Source organism: Homo sapiens, chromosome 2, assembly GCF_000001405.40.
Source record: "Homo sapiens chromosome 2, GRCh38.p14 Primary Assembly".
Taxonomy (NCBI): Eukaryota; Metazoa; Chordata; class Mammalia; order Primates; family Hominidae; genus Homo; species Homo sapiens.
This window is the reverse complement of record NC_000002.12, coordinates 55,519,701-55,545,785: the sequence shown is the minus strand read 5'-3', so window position 1 is coordinate 55,545,785 and position 26,085 is coordinate 55,519,701. Positions and strand designations below refer to the sequence as shown.

The 26,085-nt window shown below is 40.4% G+C and overlaps 1 protein-coding gene across 4 annotated transcripts, besides 1 other annotated feature; it reads right to left on the bottom strand.

The window, feature by feature from the left end:
- Positions 1-706: 706 nt before the first annotated feature.
- CFAP36 (cilia and flagella associated protein 36) lies at positions 707-26,068 on the bottom strand. 4 transcript variants are annotated; one of them, NM_001282761.2, is made up of 11 exons: positions 25,870-26,068; positions 25,307-25,381; positions 23,620-23,684; positions 21,964-22,065; positions 16,794-16,908; positions 11,826-11,913; positions 10,023-10,074; positions 8,201-8,303; positions 1,712-1,848; positions 1,417-1,566; positions 707-879 (listed from the first exon to the last, which is right to left on the bottom strand). In NM_001282761.2, exons 1-11 carry the CDS (start codon positions 25,982-25,984, stop codon positions 778-780), a joined length of 1,104 nt encoding a protein of 367 aa, NP_001269690.1. In that variant the 5' UTR covers positions 25,985-26,068; the 3' UTR covers positions 707-777. The 4 variants fall into 4 exon arrangements, with proteins under 4 accessions (NP_001269690.1, NP_542398.3, XP_047299042.1 ...); NM_080667.7 differs by lacking the exon at positions 25,307-25,381; XM_047443086.1 differs by lacking the exons at positions 16,794-16,908; positions 23,620-23,684; positions 25,307-25,381; positions 25,870-26,068.
- Positions 25,288-25,537: an enhancer, noted in NCBI's record as "active region_15782". NCBI's record gives its function as "activates an Ori minimal core promoter by ATAC-STARR-seq in GM12878 lymphoblastoid cells {active_cell/tissue: GM12878}" and the evidence as "EXISTENCE:reporter gene assay evidence [ECO:0000049][PMID:35858748]".
- Positions 26,069-26,085: the final 17 nt, after the last annotated feature.

Below are 26,085 nucleotides of genomic sequence, written 5' to 3'. Positions count from 1 at the left end.
CGGCCTCCCAAAGTGCTGGGATTACAGTGTCAGCCACCGTGCCTGGCCCCTGCATTAAAATTTTTCAATGACTTGACACTGCTGGTATTACAAAATTTAAAATCCAGAGCTGGGATTGTGCAACTGCACGCCAGCCTGGGCAGCAGAGCAAGATCCTGTCTCTAAAATAATTTTTAAAAAAATTAAATCCTCACATTCCCTGTAAGACTCTGCACTGTCAGTCCCCCACCTGTCTCCAATTTCATATGCTAACCGTCTCCACTCATATATATACTCCAGTTTTTCAGTATATGCTTTATTTCCTGCTGCAGAACCTGAACTGTTCCTTACCTATTCTTTGTGTAATTAACCTTCCATTCAGCTTAAAGAGGCTTAGCCAGCCCTGCTCATAGGACACTACACTTTGCCTTTCTAACAGTTTCGTCTTTGGGCCCTCTCCACTAGCCCCATGAAGGCAGTGACCCTGTCAATCTAGTTGACTCCTGTATCCTTAGTGCTTAGCACAATGCCTGGCACAAACAGTAGGTAACCGAGTTTGAATGAATGAACATACTATCAACTAGTTTCCTTCTATACCCTCTTTCCAAGGGAAAACATCCAGGAATTTGTATTAAACTAATCAGTATGAGTAGCTGCCTTCCCTACTGTCCTTTACCTAAAGTGTTTAAGATATTTGGATTTACAAAAGTGTTCGAAACTAAAAGGCTCAGTGTAAGGACTAAATAATTTATTTTTAAGACAATTTGAACTTCCATTTTGTTAAATTGTTCTTAATTATTACTTATTAATAACTTCTTCTTTGAGTTTCTCTGCAAGCAATCTCCTCTTTAGTAATGTTTGCTTCTCCTCTGCTGTCATTTCTGGTTTCTCTGTCATTTCCTGAAAAAAAAAGAAAAAATTGGCTACAGTATGAAATAGGGTAATTTGTCTAAAATTCCCAACATACTGCCTCAAATGAACAAAAATCGGGGGCACCTTCTTGTGGGACGGAGGGAGAGACAGACATAGACTAGGTTTCCTAAATCTCTTCTTCGTAAAGTCTCTTCTTGGAGAACCCCTCTGGGAAGTGGTGGCTGATGTGCTCTATGATAAAGGTGGTACTGATGCTGCTCTATGATAAAACATTTCAGAATGCCCAGGTGAAACAGACCACCAACCCTGACATACTCAGAGAAGGGCAAGTAAAGAAACAGCATAAGAAAAAAATGTATAATGACACCGCTATTTTCTGCCTCAAAAAATCCTTATCACAACAATTTCACTTCCTAGAAAAGACTTAGCAGCTACTGCACTAGGAGGTGATTAATATGAATGGGTCTGCAAGCAAAATTTATTAGAGGCTTTCTTGCACATATTCTGATTTTGATAGTTCCACCACCAGATTTGTAAATCTTGACATATTAAGGCTAGCCATACCTCTACCTCCCCAGTGGGTTTTCCTTTCTGCTCCATATTTTGTATCTGTTTAGTCCTCATATCCTTTCTCATGGACATCAACTTATCTCTCTTCTGCTTGAGATAGTGTTCTCGTTGCCGAAGTTCTTCTGTTCCAAGTACTGATAAGTTCTGGGTCAAGTAAGAAAAGGAGCTATCTAAATTCAAATCCATTTAGTAAGTAGCACAGATGCCCACTGAGTGATTCAATTCGAAGTTTGATTTCCCAGTACCTTGTCATTTTGCTTATAGTTCTTAAGTGATGTCGTTTACTTACTGCTATTGGTCCTTCAATGCTCGCATGCTCTAAGCCAGGAATCTTCAGGTCTTTTTGTGGGAGGGAGGAAGTTTCAGACCTTTCCACTTTTCTTCCCAAAGGTTCTATTGACTGATTAGCAAAATGCATTTTAACTTCTGGCAATAAGTAGACAATAAGAGCAATTAGAATATTATGAGAAATATTTTAAGTGTTAGGCTAGGTTTACCGAAATGAGCTAATGTTAATAATACTTGTTTTTCCTCATAGTCATTCAGTCAACATATATTCAGTGCCTATACTGTGCCAGCCACTGGGTAAGAACAGTAAACATCATGTCTCTATCCTTAAGGAGCTTGGAACTACAGTTTCTCACCTACTTCTCAACAAGTACCATGCTTCTGCTGTTTGTACAGTACTATAGCTACAAAAAGCTAAAATCCTTGTCTAAAGATTAGAACTACACTATAATATAAGATTGCCACATAATCCAAATAAACAGTATACTAATCCCTTACTACAATGTAATTGGTTTCCAAACTTTTGCTTGCATGTAAAAAGTCACCCTATACTTTCAGAACAATTAATGTAAAACTATAATTTTTTGTATTGCAAGAGTGCATGCCAGTAATGTCAATAATTTTTGTTTATAATTATGTATTGAAGATAACTATAAACCTGCCAGTGCATTATGAAAATGTAAAGATTTCTAAAGCAAGCAGAACTTGGAAGCACATATAAACATGAGCACTAAATACTTTCCAGCCATTTGGTGACTGTGCCAACCAAGAGAGAGAGTTAACATTCTAATTGCTCCTCTGAGCCATTTTTTATTATAAGGTGATTGTTTTTAAAAAGATAAAACATTTTCAGTGTAAATACATGGGCTATGAAAGAAAGCACACTGAGACAAGCAAAGACATTAAAATGATGCTAAGATCTAAAAGCATGATGGGAAAACATGGCACACATGTCTAAATGATTAAAATTTTTGCCACACCTGGTTGATCCTGCCAGTTAAAAAAAAAAAATACCTTGCCAGCATACATACTAAAACAGAAAACAGAATTTTGTCTGTGCAAGAAACTTGACAACAGACCACTCCTCTAGCAGTGACCAGACTGACTACAGTGCCAGAGAGGTTGAAGGAAGAAAAGCTCTCCAGACCCTTGGACAATAAGGGAAATCTCCATGGAAAAGATAAGCTGTAACCAGCACTCCAAACCAACCTAGACAGGGAGCTACATAACTAACAGAAATAAAGATAGAGGTAAAACACCGCTGTTATTACTGAGAGTGACGTTAGCAGAGGTAGGCTTAGCCCTCAGTGGACTCACAGAACTGGAGAAGGGACAGTTCAAATAATTCCTGAGGAGGGGGGAACCCATACATATAAGCATTTATATTCCACTCATGTTCTTTCTCTGGACAGTTCTTGCCTTGGGTTTGTTAATTATGAACATACGTATATTCTCAGGCCTAGAAAGGAAAGTACTTGAAGCCAAATACTTAGCTTCTCTAATTTCTAGGAAGGGAAGATCAGAAAGCCAGAAAACCTAAAGAAAGATCATCTCATCTCTGGCAAATCTGCATCAATCTGAGAAAAGACACTATCCATTGCTGGCAGGAATGAGGGAAAGACAGGCAAAAGGACAAAGCAGAAGCTCAAACAACTTCATGATTCTTCCAAACTCAGGTCTTCATACTGGGCTTCCATCACTTTGTACGAAGTGATTCTCTGAAATATCAGATATGCGCATTTGAAAAAAATTATTTTAAAAATTGAAATCATTACTTTTGAGATCTACCATTTATGGTGTACCATTAATGTGTACAACTGAATTATATGTGGTTTGAGATCAAGTTTTCTATAGCTTCACTTAGATAAGAAAGCAGACAAAGCAAATTTATTCAATTTATGTTAGACACAAGATTTAAATAGTGTATGTACTTAGGTGTATATAAAACAAAGTTAATTTGGGTCAGCAAACTAGAGCACAGACAAACCTAAAGCAGGAGCTTTCATATATATCATTAAAATGAGGCTATTTCTCCTTACAATCTGTAGCATATATATAAAAAAGAAATGGTTTGACTTGGTACAAAGAAGCAAGGTAACTTCACAGATCTGCTTCTGATTCAATATACTCCTGTTTTTCTGTCAAATAAGAATCTAACTCCTTAAAATTAATGGGTGCTCTCAGTAAACTAGGAATAGAGAGGAACTTCCTCAACTTCATAAAGAGTACGAAAAACTCTAAAACTTAACACAATACTTAATGGTGAGAAATTAGAAGGTTTCTCACTAAGATCAGAAACAAGGCAAAAATGTCCCCTCTCTCACCTTTCTGATTCAACATCATACTAGAAGTCCTACCTAATCCACTAGGACAAGAAAAGGAAATAAAAGGTACACTGATTGGGAAGGAATAAATAAAAATGTCTTTATTTGCAGAACACATGATCATCTATGTAGAAAATGCAAAACAATTGACAGAAAAACTGAAATGAATAATTATATAGCAAGGTTACAGGATACAAATTAATAACAGTTTATCACTTTCCTTTATACCAGTAATGAATAAATGGAATTTAAAATTAAAAATACCATTTACATTAGCACAGCACCCCTAAAAATGAAATACTTAGATATAAAATATAACAAAATATGCACAAGATCTATATGAGGAAAACTACAAAATTCTAATGAAAGAAATCAAAGAACTAAATAAATGGAGAAATATTCCATGGTTTTTATTTTATTTTATTTTGAGATGAAGTTTCGCTCTTGTTGCCCAGGCTGGAGTGCAATGGCACGATCTTGGCTCACTGCAACCTCTTCCTCCCGGGTTCAAGCGATTCTCCTGCCTCAGCCTCCCGAGTAGCTAGCATTACAGGAACTTGCCACGATGCCCAGCTAATTTTTTGTATTTTTTGTAGAGATGGAGTTTCACCATGTTGGCCACACTGGTCGCAAACTCCTGACCTCAAGTGATCCACCACCTCGGCCTCCCAAATTGCTGGGATGACAGGTGTGAGCCACTACTCCTGGCCTTTTTTTTATTTTTTTATTTTATTTTTTTGAGACAGGGTCTCACTCTATCACCTAGGCTGGAGTGCAGTGATGCAATCTCAACTCACTGCAACATCCACCTCGTGGGCTCAAGCAATTCTCCTGCCTCAGCCTCCCTAGAGGCTGGGACTACAGGCGTGCACCACCATGCCTGGCTAATTTTTGTATTTTTTTTGTAAAGACAGGGTTTCGCCAAATTGCCCAGGCTGGTTTTGAACTCCTGAGCTCGAACAGTTTTCCCGCCTTGGCCTCCCAAAATGCTAGGATTACAGGCATGAGCCACCATGCCCGGCCTATTCCATGTTTATGGACAGGAAAACTCAATGTCAAGATGTCAGTTCTTCCCAACATGATCTACAGATTCAATACAATATCAATCAAAATTTCAGCAAGTTATTTTGTGGATACTGACAAACAGATTCTAACATTTATATGGAGAGGCAAAACACCCAGAATAGCCAACACAATATTGAAGAACAAAATTGGAGGACTGACACTACCCAACTTGGAGACTTCAAACTACAGTAATCAAGAGAGTGTGGTATTTGCAAAAGAATGGAGAAATAGATCAACAGAACATAATAGAGAGCCCAGAAATAAACTCACATAAATATAATCAATTTATCTTTGACAAAGGAGCAAAGGCAATACGGTGAGGAAAGGAAAATGGACATCTGAAAGAAAAAATATGAATCTAGACACAAACTTTACACCCTTCACAAAAAATAATTCAAAATAGATCACAGACCTAAATGTAAAATGTAAAACTATAAAAATCCTAGAAGATAACATAGGAGGAAATTTAGGTGACCTTGGGTATGGTGATGACTTTTTTGATACAACACCAAAGGCACACCCTATGAAAGACATAATTAATAAGCTGAACTTCATTAAAATTTCTGCTATGTAAAAGACAGTATCAAGAGGATGAGAAGACAAGCCACAGACTGGAAGAAAATATTTTCAGAAGACACATCTGATAAAGGACTGTTATTCAAAATATACAAAGAACACTTAAAATTCAACAATAAGAAAATGAACCCAATTAACAAAAAGAAAACAAACAACCCAACAAATATAATGGGTCAAAAACCTTAACAGACTCATCACCAAAGAAGATACATAGATGACAAGCATATGAAAAGATGCTCCACATCATGTCATCAGGGAAATGCAAATAAAACAACAATGAGATACCACTACACACCTACTAGAATACTCCAAATCCAGAACACTGACAACACCAAATGCTGGCAAGGATGCAACAAGAACGCTCATTCACTGCTATGGAAATGCAAAATGGTATAGCCGCTTTAGAACACAGTTTGGCACTTTCTTACAAAACTAAACATACTCTTACTGTAAGATATAACAATCATGCTCATTGGTATTTACCCAAAGGAGCTGAAAGCTATGTCCAAACAAAAACCTGCACACTGATGTTTATAGCAGCTTTATTCATAATTGTCAAAACTTGGAAGCAACCAAGATTTTCTTCAGCAGATAAATGAATAAACAAACCGTGGCACATCCAGACAATGGAATATTATTCAGCACTAAAAAGAAATGAGCTACAAAGCCATGACAAGACATGGAGAAATCTTAAATGGATTATTACTAAGTGAAAGAAGCCAATCTGAAAAGGCTACGTACTACTGTATGATTTCAACTATATGACATTCTAGAAAAGGCAAAACTGTGGAAACAGTAAAAGATCAGTGGTTGCCATGGGCTAGGAGGTGGGAAGGATGAATAGGCAGAGCACAAAGAATTTTTAGGGCAATGAAACTGTATACTACATGATACTATAATGGTGAATGCATGTCATCATACATTTGTCAAAATCCACAGAATATACAATAGCAAGAGTGAACCCTAATGTAAACTATGCTCTTTGGTTGGTAATGTTGTGTCAAGGAAGGTTCACCAACGTAACAAATGTACTACTTTTGAGGGGGTCGATAATGGGAGAGGCTAGGCATGTACTAGGGCAGGGACTATATGGGGGAAATCTCTGTACCTTCTGCTCAATTTTACTGTGAACCTAAAACAGCTTAAATTAGGCATATTAAAGAAAGGTGTTCTCCAACTTACATTAAAAAATTAATGGGTAAACATCACACTAATCTCAATTATAGAAGTTCTTCTAAACTAAGGTTTAGAAGAATATATTTAGTGTCAGAAGACCAAGGTAAGTCATAATTTCACCATTGAAGAGTTCGGTGATCTTGGACAAGTCGCTCAGCTTCCTTGAATTTCTTTAAAAAAAAAAAAAAGAAGGGATGGGTACAGTGGCTCATGCCTATAATCCTAGTGCTTTGGGAGGCTGAGGCAGGAGGATCACTTGAGGCCAGGAGTTTGAGACCCAGCCTGGGCAACACAGCAACACCCGACTCAACAAAAATAATTTTTTTAAAAAAGATAAGAGTAGCCAGGCACAGTGGCTCATGCCTGTAATCCCAGCACTTTGGGAGGCCAAGGCAAGCAGATCACCTAAGGTTGGGAGTTCGAGACCAGCCTGACCAACATGTAGAAACCCCATCTCTACTAAATATATAAAATTAGCTGGGCGTGGTGGTGCCTGCCTGTAATCCCAGCTACTCAGGAGGCTAAGGCAGGAGAATCACTTGAACCCAGGAAGTGGAGGTTATGGTGAGCCGAGATCACACCATTGCACTCTAGCCTGGGCAACAACAGCAAAACTCTGACTCAAAAAAAAAAAAAAAAGATAAAAGAAAAACAAGGATTATAATATCTACCTCACAGAGTATATTTTTTTAATTGAGAAAAGGACATTTATTTAAAACCATAGGAATCCATAATAAAATGAACTGAATTCATGACCATAATTTCTGTTTCAGAATTACTTGTTTTCTTATATAGAAAATCAGTTCATATTGAGAATAGATTTGCCACATGTTGAAAAGGTCATCCACTAGTATTTCCTACAAGGATTCCTATAAATTTTGATTTCAAAGATATGATTTCTGACCAAATATCTGGACAAAATGGCTACCTCTTATTTTCTAGCTGTACTTAATTCATTGGAAAAGAAATTTAATATTATCTTTCCAAGTTCAGCTTCTCACTAACAAATACCATACAACTGTAAGCATGGAAGAGAATACCAAATGTTATGTGAACCTCTCTTGTAAGCTGCAGTCATGCACAAAGGCTAGTTACTCCCTCAAGGAGTTTTGCTCTCTACTCTGGGTTCCAGGCTTTACACGGAAACTTGAGGACTATACGCTCTCTTTCAGGTCAGTATCTCGTCTGCAACCTCTTTAACCAAATTCACAAAGAACGTTAAATACCAAAGACATTCAATACTCCCTCCCAGGGCTTTTGAAGTTAAATAAGTATGAGAAAGTGGCACATTCTATATGGTGTTTATGTATTCATATTATTAGAGAAAGTTCAGTACACCTCAACCTTACCTGAGGGTGGGTGTGCAAAATGTTCACCATCCCCTTGGGAATTATTCATTATTGCAGCTTCACTGGAATGCACTGTGGGCTCTTCTGTTTTAGCCTCTGATAACTTCAGGATTCCATAATACAATTTTTTAAAAAACACACAATTTAGATTCATTTTAACTAATTCACTACCTAAAGGATCCAAAGATATTATAGTTTTCTTTTTTTTTTCTTTTGAGACAGAGTCTCACTCTGTCACCCAGACTGGAGTGCAGTAGTGTGATCCTGACTCACTGCAACCTCCGGCTCCTGGATTTAAATGATTCTCATGCCTGAGCCACCTGAGTAGCTGGGATTACAGGTGTGCACTACCACGCTCGGCTAATTGTTGCATTTTTAGTAGAGATGGGGTTTTGCCATGTTGCTGGTCTCGAATTCCTGGCCTCAAGTGATCCACCCACCTCAGCCTCTCAAAGTGCTGGGATTACAGGAGTGAGCCACCACGTCTGGCCTCTTTAAAAGAAAGTATAAAGTATACACTCTTATAAGAAAGTATATACTTTTGGCCGGGCACAGTGGCTCATGTCTGTAATCCCAACATTTTGGGAGGCCAAGGCCAGCAGATCACCTGAGGTCAGGAGTTCGAGACCGGTCTGGCCAACATGGTGAAACCCTGTCTACTAAAAGTACAAAAATTAGCCAAGAGTGGTGGCAGGCACCTATAATCCCAGCTACTGGGGAGGCTGAGGCACGAGAATCGCTTGAGCCTGGGAGGCAGAGGTTGCAGTGAGCCAAGATCACGCCACTGCACTCTAGCCTGGGCAATACAACAAGACTCAGTCTCAAAAAAAAAGTATATACTTTATATATTAAGAAGTATAAAAAGTTGGCCAGGCACAGTGGCAGGCAGGTGGATCACATGAGGTCAGGAGTTCAAGAGCAGCTTGGCCAACATGGTGAAACCCTGTCTCTACTGAAAATACAAAAAATTAGCTGGGCGTGGTGGTACACGCCTGTAATCCCACCTACTTGGGAGGCTGAGGCAGGAGAATCACTTGAACCTGGGAAGCAGAGGTTGCAGTGAGCCGAGATTGCGCCACTGCACTCCAGCCCAGGTGTCAGAGTGAGACTGTCTCCAAAAAAATAAATAAATAAAAGAGTATAAAAGGTTGTTCTGGCCGGGCATGGTGGCTCACACCTGTAATCCCAGCACTTTGGGAGGCCGAGGCGGGCAGATCACGAGGTCAGGAGTTTAAGACCAGCCTGATCAACGTGGTGAAACCCCGTCTCTACTAAAAATACAAAAATTAGCCAGGCGTGATGGCGCACGCTTGTAATCCCAGCTACTCTGGAGGCTGAGGCAGGAGAATCGCTTGAACCCCGGAGGCAGAGGTTGCAGTGAGCCAAGATCACACCACTGCACTCCAGCCTGGGTGACAGAATGAGACTCAATCTCAAAAAAAAAAAAAAAATGTTGTTCTGTGAGTTACCAGGACAAAAATAAAGAAGGAGAAAAAAGTATAAAAAGTTAAAAACAAATGCTTAAACTTGCCAAAAAAAATGACTACTCTTGCTTATATGCATGTCCTGTAAGATTAATTAGTACTATGTGGTGTTTGTACTATATACAGTTAAGTATATATAGTACTATATAATATGGTGGCCAGCAGTAATGCACGACATACATAGAATTATTGATATATTAATATTATTGGTCAATATTTACATTGTACTTAAAATTATGTAGTTCCACATAAGTATAAATTTTAATAGTAAGATCTAGGTGTAAACTTAATAAGAGATAACAGCAATAAAATACTTCTGTTATATGTTCTGTAGGCACCTGTTTTTTCCTCTTCCTTTCTTCTTCCTGGTCATATTCCTCTTTTGATTTTCTGAAATATACAAAAATAAGATAAAAAGATAAATTTCCTTTTTTGGTCAAAGAACAAATATTCAACTAAGCAACATGCTAACCTAAGCTTACAATAAAAGGCACATTAGACACAAAGATGGAAGATAATCAAGCCTTGCTCTAAAGTGGCTTACAGTCAACTGGGAAAGACATACATAGGCATACAGCATAATACAGTTAGTAACACAAAATACAGGTCTACCCATTTCTTCTAGAACTCTGAATGAACCCTAGCTGAATAAAGATCAACAGATTTGAAATCCTGAACCCAAATTTGAATGGCAAATCCCATTAATAAGGACTTCAATCACCCTCTTTAGAGTGATCAATTACACCCCTCTTGATAAGAGCCATTATACCCCTCTTGATAAAATGTCATTGTTCCAATGGCATCTGAGCTATCATCAAGCACTTGTGATACCACTGTGCCAAAGCCCATCAACTTTTGTAAACTGTTCACTGAGACAGTGCTTTTCGAAAGTAACCAAGGTCAACTGTTATACATGTTCATAACTAAGTTCTATTACTTACACAGTAGTATATCCCCTCAAAAGCTCTTGGAAAATAAAATCTAAAAATACAGTGCTGACCAGTTTTCAGGCCACCAATCAACCAACACAACCAGTCCAAATCAAAACTTTACCAGTCCTCTGAACCAAACACCCTTACATCTCAAACCTGTAAACTCAAAGCATTCTGTGTTGTCTCAGGCTCCCATTTGCCCCTGCCATCCAAGGAGGGATGTGGCAAGAAAGGGTTGAGTTCAACTGCATATCTGCTACCCTCTCCATAATCACTCAAACCCCCGAAATTAAGCACTGCATCCTGGAGCTCCTGCCATAGTTTCCCATCAGGCCCATCCTCTGATCCTCTCTTCTGCTTTGGAGGTGGGACAAAGTACCTAAGTGGGGGGAACTGTAGGATGCTAGAAGATGGTCATGTGTGGTAGTATAGTTGGAGAAGAAGTGACCCCAAAGGCCAAGGCCACAGTCTGCAAGTGACACTGTGATTATAGGCATCCTTTTGCCCTAAATCTAATATATTCTCACAGGAGATTTAAAAATTAGGAGCTACTACTGCCCCTTCCTTCCAAAATTCCCATAAAGGTCAGGGCACAACAGGCCCAAAAGAAAAAGAAATGTCCATTACCATTTCTTAGTTCTGTGTGGACCCCATTAGTGGTCTGCACACTCTTTGCCAGGCATTTGGCTGAGAATCATTTAACTGGGGAAACAAGGAGACCGGCAAGATACTCATCTGGGATAGACGCCTCTGTCATCCCTCCCTTGAAGGTTACTATCACCAAGTCAGCTATTCAATCTGTGGAATCTGGATGCCCAGCCTCCTACCATGTGACACCTAGAATATGCCACCTCCATAGTGAGATCCAGAAGCCAAGGAGTAAGCTGTTTAGCTCAAGTCATTATACCTCTCTCCAGAGATCAGGCTAGGTCTACTGCAACTTTTTCCCATTGGTGGCTACTTTCCTATTCCTATGATGCGGGTGTAAAAAGACCCTTTCATTTGGACTGATCTGGTATAAGTTACCTGAAAATAACTTTTTCTGTCACTAAGAAATATATCCACAGTCATAAATTGATAGATCATTTTGATGGTTTTCAGTAGAGAATTTAGCAATTTTATTAGTTCATATTTGTTGGGCAAAAAGCATATGTACAGATCATATAATATTAATAATGATTCATTTAAAAAACAATTAAAGAATGGTACCTAAGAACTTCCCTCAGGATTTTCATCTCTTCGTGTTCAAGGTCACTGACCACATCAGAGCCATCGGTTAAGCAGTCAGGTAATACACCTGTTCAAAACCAAAGACCACATGAAATAGTATCAACTCCATTAAAAACATATATTTCTCACTGTTCTCGTTCCTTAAGTACAAGTTACCTTCAGATCTATCACTGTAACATCCTAAGCTATTATCTTTTTAACTATCATCTTTTATTTTATATATATATATATTTTTTTTTTTTTTTGAGACAGAGTCTCTTTCTGTCGCCCAGGCTGGAGTGCAGTGGCACGATCTGGGCTCACTGCAACCTCTGCCTCCCAGCTTCAAGCGATTCTCCTGCCTCAGCCTCCAGAGTAGCTGGGATTACAGCTGCCCACCACCACACCCAGCTAATTTTTAGTAGAGATGGGGTTTCACCATGTCGGCAGGCTGGTCTCAAACTCCTGACCTCAAGTCATCTGCCCCCCTCGGCCTACCAAAGTGCCGGGATTACAGACGTGAGCCACCATTCCCGGCCATTTTTAACTATCATCTTTTAAGCCTTTTCCTATTTTACAGAATAAGCCCCACCAAAAACCCCACACTTTTAACTACAAATATCTCTTAGTAATTATTTTATTGGCAATTAAAAATAACAATGTATGGCAACAAAAATTTGTTAATATGTTTTTCTCTTCCATAATCATATAGTGTCTAAGAATATACTACGGAAATCATTGAGTTAGGCTTAATAATGAAACTGCTCTCAAAGGTGTCCCTTAAATGAGAAGAGTCACAAAACAAAATATAATTTTGCTAATTGAAATAGCATTAAAAGTCTTCATTTATATTATAACAGATGTTATTGAAAAGGGCGCTGCTTACTATGTGTAATAAAACCATGGTGTTAAGCACTTTGGGGGGATACAAAGATGAATAAAACGATCTCTGCCCTTGAAGCTTCTATTCAGATGTTGGTCTAATAATTATAAACCAGGGAAGTAGCAACTTGAGCCCAAGAAAATAAAAAGTAACTTAAAATATTGGTTTAATTTACTTTATTACTTTTATCTTCCTGCGAAGCAGGTGGACTGGTAATAATTGTTCTGTTTGCATCTGTAATTATTACATTCCACAACATTAGCAGAATGCTTCTTAATTTTTACCTTCCATTTCTTTATCCACATATGACTGTAGGATTTTGGGTCTACTCTTAAGTAGCTTTATTACTCTAATCCTCCTGATGTTTATATACATTTTTTTAAATTAAATGTTTTATTTTGAGGTAAGTGCAATTGTAAGAAATAATGCAGAAATCTGCTATATACTCTTTACCCAGCTTCCCCAAGTGGTAACATCTTACAAAACTATAGTAGTACAATATCACAATCAGAAAACTGACATCTAACTAATCCATTAATCTTAAGTGCATTTTTGCTCAGTCAAAAGATATAAAATTATTATTCTCCTAATAATCTTCCTGAGGAAAACTGAAAGTACTAAGAATAACACAACAGTATGAAGTACTTAAAAACCATCAAAATAATACTCTCATTTGCAATTTCTCTAAATTCTTTAATAAGGCACCAAAAAGATAAAAAAGAATCCAGAGAGCCTTTGACTTTTTCTCATCATTAAGAACTATTTTCAAATAGTCTGCAGTTTTGAGTATAATCAACATTAATCTAAGGTATTCACCCCTGGATCTTAGTCAGGCAACATTCTTTCTTTTCTTTTTCTTTTTTTTTTTTTAATTTTGAGACAGGGTCTTGCTCTGTTGCCCAGGCTGGCACGCAGTGGTACTATCATAGCTCACTGCAGCCTCAAACAGAAGTCTGAGGCTGGGCTTAAGCGATCCTCCTGCCTCAGCCTCTGAAAGCACTGGGACCACAGGCATGAGCCACTGTTCCCAGCCAGCAAAACTCTTAAGTACATGTATTAGAAATTCTGTAGCAGAAACTAAGTATTACCTTATGTTTAAATGTAAGTAAAATGCCCCATGCTGTGGCCTGACAATAGTCATTATTCTACATCATTCCCCTCCTCCTCCCTTGCTAATAGAAGCCAGCTTTTGCAGAATTATCAGGCAGCTAACTACTTAGAGGCAGGGCCCTCCCCAATCCCAGGAGAGTGACTCCTAATTGGTTCAAGCCAATCATAATGGTCTCATTCCCCTTGCCAGATGGTTTAAGAAAGGCAAGTGACCCCAATCCTAATCAATAGGACCTGAGGGAAAAACTGGAGGGTTTCCATGAAATTGTTGTCTTGCTAACAAAAAGAGATGTACAGGAGGAAATATTCCATTTCTTCATAAGACACTGTTGAGTCTGCATTCAATACAGCCAGAGTACAATCATGAGAGAAGATTCTGAGAATGGCAGAGTATAAAGATGCAAAGTGTCGGGGTCCTTGATTAGATCAGTGAGCCACTAAATTAACCAATCCCGAACCTGTCTTCCTTCTCTCCCTTCCTCTGGACTTCTTGTTCTGGGAGATCTTTTCTTCACTGGAGTGTTCTGTTACTGACAGCCTAAGGCATCCACATGATACAAGATATATATTTATTCCCTTTTTATTAAAATCTAAATGAGTTTCCAATTAAATTCCAAACTGAAAACTAAAGAATGCCATTGTCAAGTTCACTATTTCTTTTCCTGATCCCCTAAAAAAATTTGTTTACTAACATACTTACTAAAATTGTCTAACCCGTAAGTCAGAATAAAGCATAGTTTTCAGGAAAATTCAGAGGCAAGGATTTTATAGAGCAAACCACAGTAGAAAGAGACTATTTTCCAGACTTATTCACATCAAAGTAATAGCACTATGTCATGGATTCTTCAGGGTTAGGGTGGTGTTTTCCCCCTACCCACAGACAACAGCGCTATTAGCTGCTGGGGAAAGCATCTTGGGATTCTAGTAGATGATTATGATGGTGGCTGGCTCTAAGAGTCTCTACTCACATCAGTCAAATGAGGAGGAAACTCCCCAGTAAGGGCCATGCAAAATTCTCATGTTTGCCATGCAACAACGGAAGCCCTATTGTTGCATGTTCCAGGCCCTTAAGAGCCAACGATACAACTGAACTATAGATCTCATATCTTCAAGAAACAATCAAAGGAAAGGTCCTGCTGCCAAGCCATTAAAGAGGTTATGGGCCGTGGTAAAAAAATATCATGGCAATCTATTGAGCTAACGAAGACATAGAAATTAAGGTGAGGTTACCACAGCAAGAAATTTGAAACAGAGATGATAATCTGGGTTAGAAAGGAAATGGTACAATAACAAGTAGCATGGTTAGAAACTCGGCTGTTTTGAGTCAGGATGTTAAATGTAGTTCAGGTACACAAGAAGGGAACAAGAGCAGGAAGAGCTAGAGAGAAAGTGAACTTAAGCACAGGGTCAGGGGAAAGATAAAGCCAACCAGGGTTAATAGGGCTTTGAGTTCCATTTTGTCTTCCACATGATGCTGGTACAAGCTTATCTGTCTCTGCCCAGTGCCCTAGAACAGTGGGTGTTGGTGTGGTCCCAGGACTAGCAGCTTCAGCATCACCTGGGAACTTGTTTGTGTTAGTCCATTTTCATGCTGCTGATAAAGACATACCCGAGACTGGGCAATTTACACAGGAAAGAGGTTTAATCGGACTTACATTTCCACATGGCTGGGGAAGCCTCACAATCATGGCGGAAGACAAACAGGAGCAATCACGTCTTACATGGATGACAGCAGGCAAAGAGAGAGCTTGTGCAGGAAGACTCCCCTTTCCCAAAACCATCAGATCTCATGAGACTTATTCACTATCACAAGAACAGCATGGGGAACACCTGCCCCCAAAATTCAATTACCTCCCACTGGGTCCCTCCCACAACACGTGGGAATTCAAGATGAGATTTGGGTGGGGACACAGCCAAACCATATCATTGTTAAAAATGCAAATTATCGGTACCCCAGACCTATTAAATCAGAAACTGGGAGGCAGCCATATGTGCTTCAGCAAGCCCTCCAACCATTTCCAATGCTTGCTAAAGCTTAAGAACCACTGCTTCCGGCCACGTTGGGAGGCCAAGGCGGGCGGATCACGAGGTCAGGAGATCGAGACCATCCTGGCTAACATGGTGAAACCCCATCTCTACTAAAAATACAAAAAATTAGCCCGGAGTGGTGGCAGGTGCCTGTAGTCCCAGCTACTCAGAAGGCTGAGGCAGGAGAATGGTGTAAACCCGCAAGGCAGAGCATGCAGTAAGCCGAGATCATGCCACTGCACTCCAGCCTGAGCAACAGAGCGAGACTCCGTCTCAAAAAAAAAAAAAAAAAGAACCACTGCTTCCTACAAAGGTCCTAACAATCTTAAGCCAGAAAAAGGATGGACACCTCTCAACAGTAACCACAACTATGACCATTCAAAAATACTCAACTTCATAAACATAATGGCTGGGCAGAAAATTGAACTCTGTGAAATCCAAAGTATCATTGAATTCTGGTCTCCTTTCTTTGAGATGTCAAATACAAATCAGGAAGTTTATACTCTTTTTTTTTTTTTGAGACAGGGTCTCACTCTGTCACCCAGGCTGGAGTGCAGTGGCGCGATCTCAGCTCACTGCAAGCTCCACCTCCCGGGTTCACGCCATTCTCCTGCCTCAGCCTCCCAAGTAGCTGGGACTACAGGTGCCCGCCACCACGCCCAGCTAATTTTTTTGTATTTTTAGTAGAGACGGGGTTTCACTGTGTTAGCTGGGATGGTCTCGATCTCCTGACCTCATGGTCTGCCCGCCTCAGCCTCCCAAAGTGCTGTGATTACAGGCGTGAGCCACTGCACCCAGCCATATACTCTAAAATCTCAAGTCAGCTGAAGTCTTTCAAACTTGAAATAAATGTACATGAGACAGCTACATTTAAGACCATATTAGAATAGTCAAAACTGTAAAAAAAAATGCATTTAGTACTTAGATTTCTAACTTCAACATTTTACCATTTCTCTCTTGAATTATTCGAATGGCTTGCAGCTGCATTTCAATGTTTTTCTGGACCATCATTGCTTTAAAGATAGTAAAATCTTCTGCTGCCAACACAGGTTGCAAAATGGCCTGTGGAAAGAAGTCTCAAGTGAAATGAAGATTCAAGTTTTAAAACTATTACCCATACATTCGAACCATTTCTACTGCAAAACAGTAGATTAATTCAAGAATGCTACATTGTTATTTATGATTAGATGTCCCAAAAGGACAATTTTAAAATTTATCTTAATAGCCTTTAAAACAGGGTTCTCAGCCGGGCACGGTGGCTCACACCTGTAAACCCAATACTTTGGGCGGCTGAGGCAGGCAGAACACTTGAGGTCAGGAGTTCAAGATTAGCCTAGCCAACATGGTGAAACCCCATCTCTACTAAAAAAATAAAAAAATTAGCCAGGTGCGGTGGTGCATACCTGTAGTCCCAGCTACTCAGGAGGCTGAGACCGGAGAATCATTTGAACCAGGAGACAGAGGTTGCAGTGAGCCAAGATCGCACCTCTGCACTCCAGCCTGGGTGACAGAGCAAGACTCCGTCTCAAAAAAAAAAAAATTTTTCAAAAGGATCAGTATTGTGATATGCAAATTATATCTCAATAAAGTTGTTTAAAAAAAAAGAAAGCTGGAGTAGCTTAATTTAGTTTCAGATAAAGTAGACCTCAGAACAAGAAAGATGATCAGCAATAAAGAGGGGCATTTGTTTATAATTCTATAAAATATAATACTTTATGATTATTCTATGATTACATATTTTATATATAATTATATAATTCCTTATAATTCTATAAAACAAAAATTGTGGCCAGGCGCAGTGGCTTATGCCTGTAATCCCAGCACTTTGGGAGGCTGAGGTGGGCAGATTACCTGAGGTCAGCAGTTTGAGACCAGCCTGGCCAACATGGCGGAAGGTGTGTACCACATCACCCTGCTAATTTTTTTGTATTTTATAGAGTTGGAGTTTCACCATGTTGCCCAGGCTTGTCTCAAACTCCTGAGCTCAAGCAATCTGCCCACCTTGGCCTCCCAAAGTGCTGGAATTATAGGCATGAGCCACCATGCCTGGCCCACATGTGTTTTTTAGAGTGTGTTGTTTAATCTCCAAGTATTTTGTTTTTTTCCAATTATCTTTTGTTATTTATTTCCAGTTTAATTATGTTGTGGTCTGAGAGCAGACACTGTATGATCTCTCTTCTTTTAAATTTGTTAAGGTATGTTTTATGGCCCATAATGTAGTCTGTCTTGACGAACATTCTGTGTGATCTTGAGAAGAATGTGTATTTTTGATTATTGGATGAAGTGGTGTATGTCAAATAAATTCAGTTGACTGAAGGTGCTGTTGTTTGTTTATTTATTTATTTATTTATTTATTTTGAAATGCAGTCTTGTTCTGTCACCCAGGCTGGAGTGCAGTGGCGCGATCTCAGCTCACCGCAACCTCCACCTCCCAGGTTCAAGCGATTCTCTTGCCTCAGCCTCCTGAGTAGCTGGGATTACAGGTGCCCACTACCACACCCGGCTAATTTTTGTATTTTTAGTAGAGACGGGTTTCACCACGTTGGCCAGGCTGGTCTCGAACTCCTGACCTCAAGTGATCCACCCACCTCGGCCTCCCAAAGTTCTGGGATTACAGGCATGAGCCACCGTGCCTGGCCTGAAGGTGCTGTTTAGTTCAACTATGTCTTTACTGATTTTCTAACTACTGGATCTGTCCAATACTGACAGAGGGTGTTGAAGTCTCCAACTATAATCATGTATTCATCCATTTCTCCTTGCAGTTCCGTTTCTGCCTCACACATTTTGTTGCTTTGTTATTAGGTACATACATATTAAAGATTGTTATGTCTTCTTGGAAATTGCCAGATTTTTTCACATTAATGTGGGCATACCAATAACATTTAAATTATTTTATTATTATTATTATTTTAGAGACAGGGTCTCACTCTGCAGCCCAGGCTGGAATACAGTGGTACAGTCATAGCTCACTGCAGCCTCAAATTCTTGGGCTCAAGCAATCCTCCCACTTCAGCTTCCCAAGTAGCTAGGACTACAGCAGCGTGTCACCATGCCCAGCTAATTCTTGTATTTTTATTTTTTGTAGAGATGGGGTCTTGCATTGTGGCCTAGGCTGGTATTGAGACCCTGGCCTAAAGTAATCCTCCTGCCTCAGCCTCCCAAAGCATTGGGATTACAGGTATGAGCTATCACACCCAGCCAAAATGTAGTGGCTCACACCTGTAACCCCAGAGCTTTGGGAGGGTGAGGCAGGAGGATTGCTTGATGCCAGGACCTCAAGACCAGCCTGGACAACACAGCATGACCCCCTCTCTACAAAACAACTGAAAAATTAGCCAGGCATAATGGTGCACACCTATAGTCCTAGCTACTCAGGAGGCTGAGGCAGGAGATTCACTTGAACCCAGGAGTTAGAGGTTGCATAGAACTATGACTGAGCGACTGCAGTCCAGCCAGGGTGGCAGAGAAAGACTCTGTCTCAAAAACAAAAACAAACAAACAAAAAAGGTTTTCTATTCCTAGAATTAAAGGTGATCATCAAATGAAAAGTTGTGCAAAAGAGGAAGTGCTGGATTAAAAAGTAGTCAAGGCAACCTCTTCTAGGCCATCATAACAAGACAATTTAAATTAATAAACATTTATTGAGAACTATGTACTAGCAACTAAGTTTTCATCTCTGTTCTACCAGCAGGGAATGCAAATATACTAAACACAGCTCAAAGGACTTACAATTTAGTAGGGCAAATAGACTTGTAGGAAACTATAATTCAAGGCAGAGTAACAAAAATATCAATTTACAATTGGCCTAGTTAAGTAGATTGAATTCTGGTCTGACTTTAGAATAAGCAGCAAAGCTGCTATAACAAGTAGCATTTCAACCAGGCCCTGATAATGAGGATTTCTCCGCATTATGAAAGGAATGATGGAGTGGTCTGGGGAGGGGACCATACATTCCAGGTTAAGGGACAGCATGAGCAAAGGTAGGTGTACAGATGCTTATAAGAGCAAGGGGCAGCAGGGCGTGGTGGCTCACGCCTGTAATCCCAGCACTTTGGGAGGCCGAGGCGGGTGGATCGCCTGAGGTCAGGTGTTCCAGCTTGGCCAACATAGTGAAACCCTGCCTCTACTAAAAATACAAAAACTTAGCCGGGCATGGTGGTGGGAGCCTGTAATCCCAGCTACTTGGGAGGCTGAGGCAGGAGAATCACTTGAACCTAGGAGACGGAGGTTGCAGTGAGCCGAGATTGTGCCATTGCACTCCAGCCTGAGCAACAAGAGCGAAACTCTATCTCAAAAGAAAAAAAAAAGAGAGCAAGTTACCTGGAATGGCAGTAGAACATAATGTATTGGAGAACTATAGCAAGGGATCATGGCTAAAAATACAATCTGGAGTCTCATCTTAAACAATTCTTACCATATCTTGCTAAGAAATTACAGTTTATTTAGTAGAAGATGAGATGCCAAAGCCAATGTTTTGTTTTTTGGGGTTGGGTCCTAATCTGTTGCCCAGGCTGGAGTACAGTGGCATGATCTTGTCTTACTGCAGCTTCAACCTCCTAGGCTCAAGTGATGCTCCTACTTCAGCATCCTGAGTAGGTACTCTGGGGAGAACACCACCACAACCTACAACAAGCTAACTTTTATATTTTTTTTAAAGATGGGGTCTCACTATGTTGTCCAGGCTGGTTTCGAACCCCTGGCTTCAAGCAATCCTCCTGTCTTGGTCTCCCAAAGTGCTGGGATTATAGGCATGAGCCACTTCCTGGCCTTCAGTTTTTGAGCAAAAGGCTACTTGGGTAGTAGCAACATATCCCAATCCTCACCCTCTGAGCAAGGGCACTCAGTTGGCTTGCCTGGGCTGGGGATACTGGCTCTACTACTTATTTAGCTGTGGACTTTGGACTATTTGCTTAATATATCTGTGCTTTGGTTTCCTCATTTCTTTTTTGTTTTTTTTTTTTAGACAGTTTTGTTCTTGTTGCCCAGGCTGGAGTGCAATGGCGCGATCTTGGCTCACCACAACCTCCGCCTCCCGGGTTCAAGGGATTCTCCTGCCTCAGCCTCCCAAGTAGCTGGGATTACAGGCATGTGCCACCATGCCCAGCTAATTTTGTATGTTTAGTAGAGACGGGGTTTCTCCATGTTGGTCAGGCTGGTCTCGAACTCCCGACCTCAGGTGATCTGCCCGCCTCGGCCTCCCAAAGTACTGGGATTACAGGCGTGAGCCACTACTCCGGGCCTGGTTTCCTCATTTCTAAATGGAAGTTATATAGTAGCAGTTTCTTAAGAGGTGTCAGGAAGATTAAATGAGATAAAACATGTCAAGTGCCCAAAATATCAATTAGCACAAGCCCTCAATAAACATTAGTTTACAGGCTGGGCGTGGTGGCTCATGCCTGTAATCCTAGCACTTTGGGAGGCCAAGATGGGCAAATCCCTTGAGCCCAGCATTCAAGACCAGCCTGGACAACACAGCAAGACCCTGTCTCTACAAAAAAAAAAAAAAAAAAAAAAAAATTAGCCATGTGTGCTGGTGCGGCACCTGTAGTCCCAGCTACCAGGAAAGTTGAGATGGGAGGATTACCTGAGCCCAGGGATGTTGAGCCTATAATGAGCTGCAATCACACTAAACTCCAGCCTGAGCAATAGAGTGAGACCCCATATCAAAAAAACAACAAAAACAAACATTAGTTTATAACATATGTATTACTACTTCAGCCTAGCACTACACAACCAGTAAGATAATACAAGTAGTTCCAAGAGAAGGAAGCAGCAGCAGGAACTACTGACTGTGGATCTGCTAAAATTATAAAAGGAGCAACTGCAGAATTATTGGAGATCTATGTAAATAAAACAGTAGTTTGTATAAACCCTGTGATCTTATTCTAGTTCTGAGTTTAGAAAGGTCACTTTGAGTTGCATCAGTTCATTAATGCCTCAAATTATCATTTTTCAGGGTTGCTCTCAAAAAGAACTCATATGTGATGAATTATCTTTCTACCTCTCACAATGTCTAAAATATTACACTTTGTCAATCAAACATTCAAATTTAAGTGAGTGTTTAACCCTGGGCATTTGTTAAAACTGTATGTTAGCAGAATAACACAAAGCAAAAACCTGTGATGTATGGGTCTTTGCAAGAGGAGAAGTGCATGCTTCTTGAAATTGATCTTCATTAATTCCAATTTCTTTGAGGTAACCTTCTAACAGCTTTTCAACCTAAAAAAACAAAGTTTAACTTTTATAATTACATAGAAAAATTCTACATGACAGTTTGCATATTAAGTATTTAGTTTAGAAAAGTATCATCGAATTTTTTGCAAATATTAATCTACATATTACATGACAGTGACATTGTCTTTCACCAAAACACAAATTAAAAGTTAATATTTTTGCTGAAAATCACATGAAATTGTATTTCTTCTAATAGAAATAGTTGAAGTCAGGATTATGAAGTTCAATGTGGTACAACTCTTCTGCTACCCAGAGGCATTTTTTTTTCTTCTTTTCTTTTCTTTCTTTTTTGAGATGGAGTCTCACTCTGTCACCCAGGCTGGAGTGCAGTGGTACGATCTCGGCTCACTGCAACCTCTGCCTCCCAGGCTCAAGCAATTCTCCTGCCTCAGCTTCCTGAGTAGCTGGGACTAGAGGCGCCTGCCACAATGCCCGACTAATTTTTTTTTTTTTTTTTGGTAGAGATGGCGTTGCACCATGTTGGTCAGGCTGGTCTCGAATTCCTGACCTCAGGTGATCCGCCTGCCCTGGCCTCCCAAAGTGCTGGGATTATAGGCATGAGCCACCACGCCTGGCCTTTTCTTTCTTTCTTTCTTTTTTTTTTTTTTGAGACAGAGTCTTACTCTGTTGTCCAGACTGGAGTACAGTGGCACAGTAATGGCTCACTGCAGCCTTGACCTTCTGGGCTCAAGAGATCATCCTCCCACTTCAGCCTCCCAAGCAACTGGGACTACAGGCACATGCCATCATGACTGATTAATTTTTGTAATTTTTATAAAGATGGAGTTTCACCATGTTGCCCAGGCTGGTCTCGAACTCCTTGGCTGAAGCAATCCACCTGCCTTGGCCTCCAAAGTGCTGGGATTATAGGTGTGAGCCACTGAGCCCCACTGCCAGAGGCATTTTTTAAAATCACAAGACAGGCTGGGCAGTGGCTCACACCTGTAAACCCAACACTTTGGGAGGCCCAGGCAGGTGGATCACTTGAGCTCTGGAGTTCCACACCAGCCTGGGAAACACAGAGAAACGCCATCTCTACAAAATACAAAAAAATTAGCAGGGCATGGTGGTGCACACCTGTAGTCCCAGCTACTCAGGTGGCTGAGATGGGAGGATCGCTTGAGCCTGGGGAGGTTGAGGCTGCAATAGGCTGTGATAGTGCCACTGCACTCCAGCCTGGGTGACAGAGCAAGACCCTGTCTCAAAAATAAAAAATAAAAAAATCACATGACAACCATGACGAAGTGAATAATTAATATGTCCCTGGATGCGTCAACAAAATAAGAATAAGATATAAAGAATACATGCAAGAACCCATAAAGAGTTGTAAAACCATTCCTTAGAGTAGAGGAGATAAGTCATCCAAATGAGATATTCAGAGCACCTGTGGAGACAGATATAACTGGCACTATTGTTAAGGTAGATTGGATTTTTGTAAAATTAAGGATTTTTAATGTAAAAATATTTTTCTTCATTTAGAAAAGCTATAAGTAGTATTAGCCTAATTACTTTTAAAAATCAGTGAAAAAAAATACTCACTAGTTCTTTGTATTCCTGATGAATCTCTGTATAGGTCAATTTGCTTTCTTCTTCATCATCAAAAACTAAATTTAAAAGAAAATATTACATAGTGTAAAAACCAAATCATTTTATTAATGCAAATTTAAAAATCCACTCCTTCCAAATAGAACTGTCAACCTAGCTCTTCAGCTTTGAATTCTTAGGGTTTATCTTTTAAAAATATATAAATGAATATATCTAAAAATATATACTATTGGCCGAGCACTGTGGCTCATGCCTGTAATCCCAGCACTTTCGGAGGCCAAGGTGGGTGGATCACCTACGATCAGGAGTTCGAGACCAGCCTGGCTGATGTGGTGAAATCCCATCTCTACTAAAAATACAAAAATCAGCCAGGCGTGGTTGTGCGCGCCTGTAGACCCAGCTACTCGGGAGGCTGAGGCAAGAGAATTGCTTGAACCCAGGAGGCGGAGGTTGCAGTGAGCCAAGATTGCACCACTGCACTCCAGCCTGGGCGGCAGAGTGAGACTCCATCTCAAAAAAAAAAAAGAAAAAAAAATATACACACACACACACACACACACACACATATATACTATTAATTGTAAACAAGCTTTTTTGCCTACTTGAGAAAATATTTAAAATGAATACTACCTCATATTTAAGACAAAAACACATTTCAATCAATATGAGGCAATAATTTCTTCATAACTTTTAATGTAATATTATTGTTAATGGTTAAATCCTTTTACAATAGGTTCCATATTATTTTATTGTACTGGAATTTTGCTGATGTAAATGTTACTGAAAGTGACCAGGCAATTTTTGTTACCACAGATAAATAATGAAGTTAAATAAAATCAAAACAAGTGTTTACTGAATGATCATATGTATAAAACAATGCAGTGAGCCAAGATCACGCCACTGCACTCCAGCCTGGGCAACAGAGCGACACTCTGTCTCCCAAAAAAAAAAAAAAAAAAGGAGTACAAATACAAGTTATTTTGTTTTTGAACATTGTTAAAAAATTACCTGTAAAAATAACACTTTAATAACTACGATTTGAATATTGATTATAGCAATGAAAATGTAATGAAAAGATTCAGTGGTCAAACTGAATTTCATCTTTACCAGATTCATGATATCTTGGAATTTAAAGAAGTCTTAAAAGGTCATCCAGGATAACCGACCATTTGATAGCTGAATAGCTGAATCCCTCTAACCCTATTAAGTCGCTATCAGATCCATTCAAACACTGCTGGAGCCGGGAAGCTCATTACCTTCTGAGGCTGGCTAACTCATCTTGGATACATTCTATCATGAAACACTTCCTTCACTGAAATTTGTTTCCCTGTAGCTTGTACCAACTGACCCTAGCTCTATTCTACTCAACCTTACAACACAAAGCAGATGTTCAAATAATTGATGAATACTACTACCCTCAAAGTCTTGCCCGATTAAACAACCACAATAACGCTTGGGCACTCATTTATATGACGTGGTTTCTGGTTCCTTTTCTGCGAATGGGCTGCAAATAGTCTCCACGAACTGAATGCAGAACTCCAAGCCTGAAGAACTGCTCAGAACCCGGAGATGCCTGTCCTTCACGGGGAATATTATGCCATATCTATACGCCTCATTTGTTCCAAGAATGGTCCTGCCCCACCTCGCCAATTTTTGGTATAGCGAAGAGTAGAGAGCTCACCAAGGGGAACACAGGCCACCAAAATCACCGGCTCTGGGCTTCCTGGAGTTATCACATGCCCTCCTTTGCAGTTAACTGTTGGTTTGGAGTGAAATCATTTCTCATTTCCTAAGCTGACTACACCGGGCGAAATGCTAGGGATCATAAGGAACTCAGGTAAACCGACGCTTCTCCTCTCAAGTCTGGCAAAGCTGTTGAAGAAGCCCAGCCAAACAGTCCACCTGCCGAGGGCAGAAACGTTCGGGACAGGGTGAGAGACCGAATTTACGATTCAAGTCTAATGTTCTTCGGACGTGCGCTTCGGCCCCAGAGAAGGGGAGTCTCGGTCCCCGTTTTCAGGTCTGCGAAGGAACACATTGGCAGGGTGAAAGGAATTCCTCCCACACAACCAGCTCTAAACCTGATGACGCGGGTGGAGAAGGTGGTGAGGGGAACGAGACCTTGCGACAGGGGTGGAGACAGGGGGTCGGGGAGACGAGAGATGGCTTGTGGTTACCAACCCCCTGCCCGCCGCTGGTGTGAGAGAGGAGAAAAGGATTGTCGGTTCGGGCTCTGGTTTTTACCTTCACATTTCTGTTCCACAAAGTCCAAGATGGGGATGGACCAGTCTGGGCCTCGCAGGAACCCCGCGATGCTCTCCACTACCCACTCCACCTCGTCTTCTTCTTCCGCAGCCATCCCGCCCCAAAGGGGCAACGGGGAAGATCCCTAGGCCAGACCGCCGGACCCCGGTTAGGCCTTTGGGCCACAAGGAGCCGAGAGGGAGTAGGGGAAGAGCT